The sequence below is a fragment of the Homo sapiens genome, chromosome 4, assembly GCF_000001405.40.
Source record: "Homo sapiens chromosome 4, GRCh38.p14 Primary Assembly".
Lineage (NCBI taxonomy): Eukaryota > Metazoa > Chordata > Mammalia > Primates > Hominidae > Homo > Homo sapiens.
Window position 1 is genome coordinate 126,794,383 of NC_000004.12, and position 4,431 is coordinate 126,798,813.

A 4,431-nucleotide genomic window follows, 5' to 3' on the forward strand; every position below is an offset into this window, starting at 1 on the left:
ATGCTCCAGTTGTACTGGGATTGAGGCAAGGAAGTGAAAATGAGCACTTTCTCAGAAGATCAGCTGCAGAGTACTATGATTACAGATAAATGTTGTTCAGACTAACTGACTCACCTCTAAAGTATGGCTAAGAGACACTTCAAATGCTCCCTTTCTAATAGATAGCTCAATCTTGTTCATAGCAAGAGCAAATACGAAAGGTCATCATCAGTTTTTTGCAAAACTCAACATGCTCTTAACCATATGATGCAACAATTGCACTCCCTGTTATTTACCGAAAGGAGCAGGAAATTTATGCCTATACTAAAACCTACACATGGATGTTTATAGCAGTTTCATTCATAACTGCCAAACCCTGGACTCAACCAAGATGTTATTCAGTAGGTGAATGAATAAATAAACTGTGGTACATCCAGAAAATTGAATATTGTTTAGTGCTAAAAAAAAATGAGCTCTCAAGCCATAAAAATACATGAGGAAACTCAAATGTATATTACTATATGAAAGAAATCAATCTCAAAGGCTACATACTGTATGATTCCAACTATATGACATTCTTGAAAAGGCAAAATTACTGGGACAATAAAAAGATCAGTGGTTGCCAGGGCGGAGGGAGGGAGGAATAGGTGGAACATAGATTATTTTGAAGTCAATAAAACTACCTGTATGATACCATAATGGTAGATATGTTGTTATACATTTGTTCAAATCCATAGAATGTACAACATCATAATTTAAACTATGGACTCTGGGTGATAAGAATGTGTCAATGCAGGTTCATCTATTGATAACTGATAATGGGGGAGGCTATGCATGTCACAGGGAGGGGATATCTGGGAAATCTCTGTACCTTCCTCTCAATTTTGTTGTGAGCCTAAAACTACTATTTAAAAAATAAAGCTTATTGAAAAAAATAAAGTATTAATAGTTTTTAATAGTAATTTAAAACATTTTTCTAAGTAATAATGTAGTAAACTACTTAAATAGAACAGATGAAGTCCATGGAATCATTCAGGTTTAGAGATCCTGGTTTTTCGTTTAGAGCTTCCATTTTGCATCCTTGCTGTTGTTCTTATTTTAATGATGAAATATCATTATTAGTAATAATAATATTGATTTGTATAATATTTCACAATTTTCAAAGTGATCCTAGAAAGAGTATTCTATCAGAATAAGAAAATAAATTTGGACATATTAAAGTGCATTAATTTTATAAATGTATAAATTTTTATGATAGGAACTCACATATCTTGAGCTCTCTGAGTTAATTCAGTTGAATAATAGTAAAAGAGGGAAAAGCTTGAGAAAAACTTACGTCTACATATTCTAATATTGTTGTGTTCTACTGCTCTTATTTTACTTTTTGTATATAAGATGTAAAACATAGTGTTTTGATACACATATATGTATAATAAAATGATTACTACAACCCAGCAAATTAATATCTCTATCATCTCACATAATTACTTTTTTAAATTGTAAGAGCACCTGAAATCTATTCTCTTAGCAAATTTTCAGTATACATTATTATTAACTGTAGTCATCATGTTGTATATTAGACCTCTAGACATGCTATTTAACTGCATTTTTTACCCCTTGACCAACATCTCTCCATTTTCTCCATCTCCCAGCTATGGATAACCACCATTCTACTCTTTGTTCGTAGGTATTTGACTTTTTTAGATTTTACATATAATTAAGATCACGTACTATATATATTTCTGTGCCTGGTTTATTTCATGAAGCGTAATGTCCTCCAGGTTTATTTATATTGTTGCAAATGACAGAATCTTTCTCTTTTTTAGATCTGAATGATAGTCCATTGTATATATACATCTATCATTTCTTTATCCATTCATCCATTTATGAACACCTAGGTGTTTCCATAGCTGGCTATTGTGAATAATGCTGAAATAAACAGGTGTGCAGGCATCTATTCTAGGTGCATACACTTAGAAGAGACATTGCTGATCATATGGTAGTTCTATTTTTAATTTTTTGAGGAACCACCGTATCGTTTTCCATAATGGGTCTATCAATTACATTCCTACCAACAATGTATAAATAGTTCCCTTTTCTCCACACCCTATTCAACACTTACCTCCTGTCTTTTTGATAATAGCCAAGTGTGAGGTGATAACTCATTGTGGTTTTAATATGCATTTCTCTGATGATTAGTGATGTTGAGCACTGTTTCATATACCTGTTGGCCATTTGTATGTCTTCTATGGAAAAATGTCTGTTCAAATATTTTGCCAATTTTTTAATAGGGTAATTTGTTTGTGTGTGTGTGTTTTTTTTGTTATGGTTTTCACTTTTTGCTATTGAGTCGAATTGCTTATATATTACAAGTATTAACACTATCAGATATATGGCTTGCAAATATTTTCTCTCCATACATAGATTGCCTTTTTATTTCATTAATTGCTTCCTTTGCTGTGCAGAAGATTCTGATGAATGCAGTTAATCCTTGAACAAGGGGGAAGTTAGGGATGCTGCCCCATATACAACCAAATGTCTGCATATAACTTTTGACTCCCTCAAAACTTACCCATTAGTAGCCTTCTGTTGACTAGAAGCCTTACTGACAACACAGTCAATTAACACATATTTTGTATGTTATATACATTATATACTATAGATTTACAAGAAAGTAAGCTGGAGAAAAAGTTATTGGGAAAATCATATGGAAGATAAAATTATAGTACTATACTGTATTTATTGATACTGTAACTTTATGTCTTCTGATTACAAGACAAATTGTCTGCCTGAAATAGCTGGTAACCATAGCCACAGACTTCAATCTGTGGTAGGTATCAAGCAACTCAACTTTTTTGTAGTGTTATGAGTTCGCTCTGCTTCTTGGGAGAACTTCCAACATCACGAGGGGCACTTCACATGAATCTCATGGTGTTATTCAAGTTTATTGCATTAAACATGATGAAGACTATATGAGAACCTCGAAATCATTTTTTCCTGTGACACAAAATTTGCTAGAGAGATGAACTGTTCATGCAGACTCACAGTGTGTTAAATGGATATTTGCAACACCTGAGCTCAGCACACTAGTAACAGGTACAACAACAGTAGTACAGTACGTACTACAGTGAATTTTATGTGATTATGATTTAATATTTTGTTTTTGTTTGTTTCCATTTCTCTCCACTGTGAATGGTGTCATGTACAGTGCATACGTTCTGATACATTTTAACTTGTTAAAGTAGATTTGTGTATATTTATAGTACTAGATGATAAAATAGACTAGTATCTACCTATATTTTATGCATTCATGACACACCTAATTTTCTTTGAATTTTTTTATATTTCTGGCCTATGTGGTTTGTTGGTAAGTTTCTTATTATTGTTGCAAATATTCAAAAAATTCTAATATTTATTGAAAAAATGCGTATATATGCAGACCTGTGAAGTTCAAACTCATGTTGTTCAAGGGTCAGCTGCATATACGGTGAAAGTAACCTTGATCAGAAATATCAAAGTCATGAATTAAAGATTACAACTTTGGAATTTGTGAGTATAATTTAGGCCAGAATTTTCCTACGTATTTAGTTTTTACTCTACATTACTAGTAAATTACATTACTAGTAAATGGTTTCAACAAAATCTTCCAGTTGGTGGACGGCAGAAAATATGATGAAATAAAGAGTACAAGGAATTTCCAATTCTACTGGTTCTAAGAATTCAATTTTGTGCCTACCAAAGAATACTTGCAGATGTATATAAGGGTACTTTTTTGGAAAAGATGAGTTTCAGAGCAATATTACAAAATTTCAGTTGTAAATTAGAGTTCATGCAGGAAATTATTGACTTTTTCCCTCCAAAGTCTCAGTATATTATTAATCTAGCAACCATAGAAAATACAATCCCTAAAGTTGGCTGTATAACATAAAAGAAAACCTAAGGAATTAAATATCAATAAAATAGCTTTTATGTCTTTACTCTGTATTTTGCAATAGTAGCACATACAACATATTTATTAAATTTGTGATATTTCACTCAAAGAAAAATGTATAGTAAGCACTATTTATGTACCATATACTGCCCTAAACACTAAGACAATGTTAATAAAAAGAAAAACATCAACAGTACATAACAATTATCCAAAGGCTGTTATCTGTCATGTACTGCTTAAAACCATTTATGTAGATTATATTACACAGTTTTCGTTAGAGCTCTTGCAGTTAATCTCTTGAGCTTCACTTTAAGTGAAGAACATGAGCCATCAAAAAGATACACAATTTGCTGGAGATAATTTACAAGTGATGAAGTCAAAGTAAAAATTAAAATCTTACACTAAAGTATTCTTTCTTATCCTATTCATTGCTACTTTAGGAAAATAAGATGATGTATATCTTGACAACACCCTTACAAAGAAGAATTAACAAAGAAAAATAATAAAATGTGTTAAGTGCT

The 4,431-nt window shown here is 31.7% G+C and overlaps 1 annotated feature.

Annotated features, from left to right (window-relative positions):
* Positions 3,042-3,211: an enhancer, noted in NCBI's record as "experimental_73151 CRE fragment used in MPRA reporter constructs". NCBI's record gives its function as "activates a minimal promoter by MPRAs in K562 erythroleukemia cells, with activity observed for the non-introgressed 4:127718664 variant allele {active_cell/tissue: K562}" and the evidence as "EXISTENCE:reporter gene assay evidence [ECO:0000049][PMID:34662402]".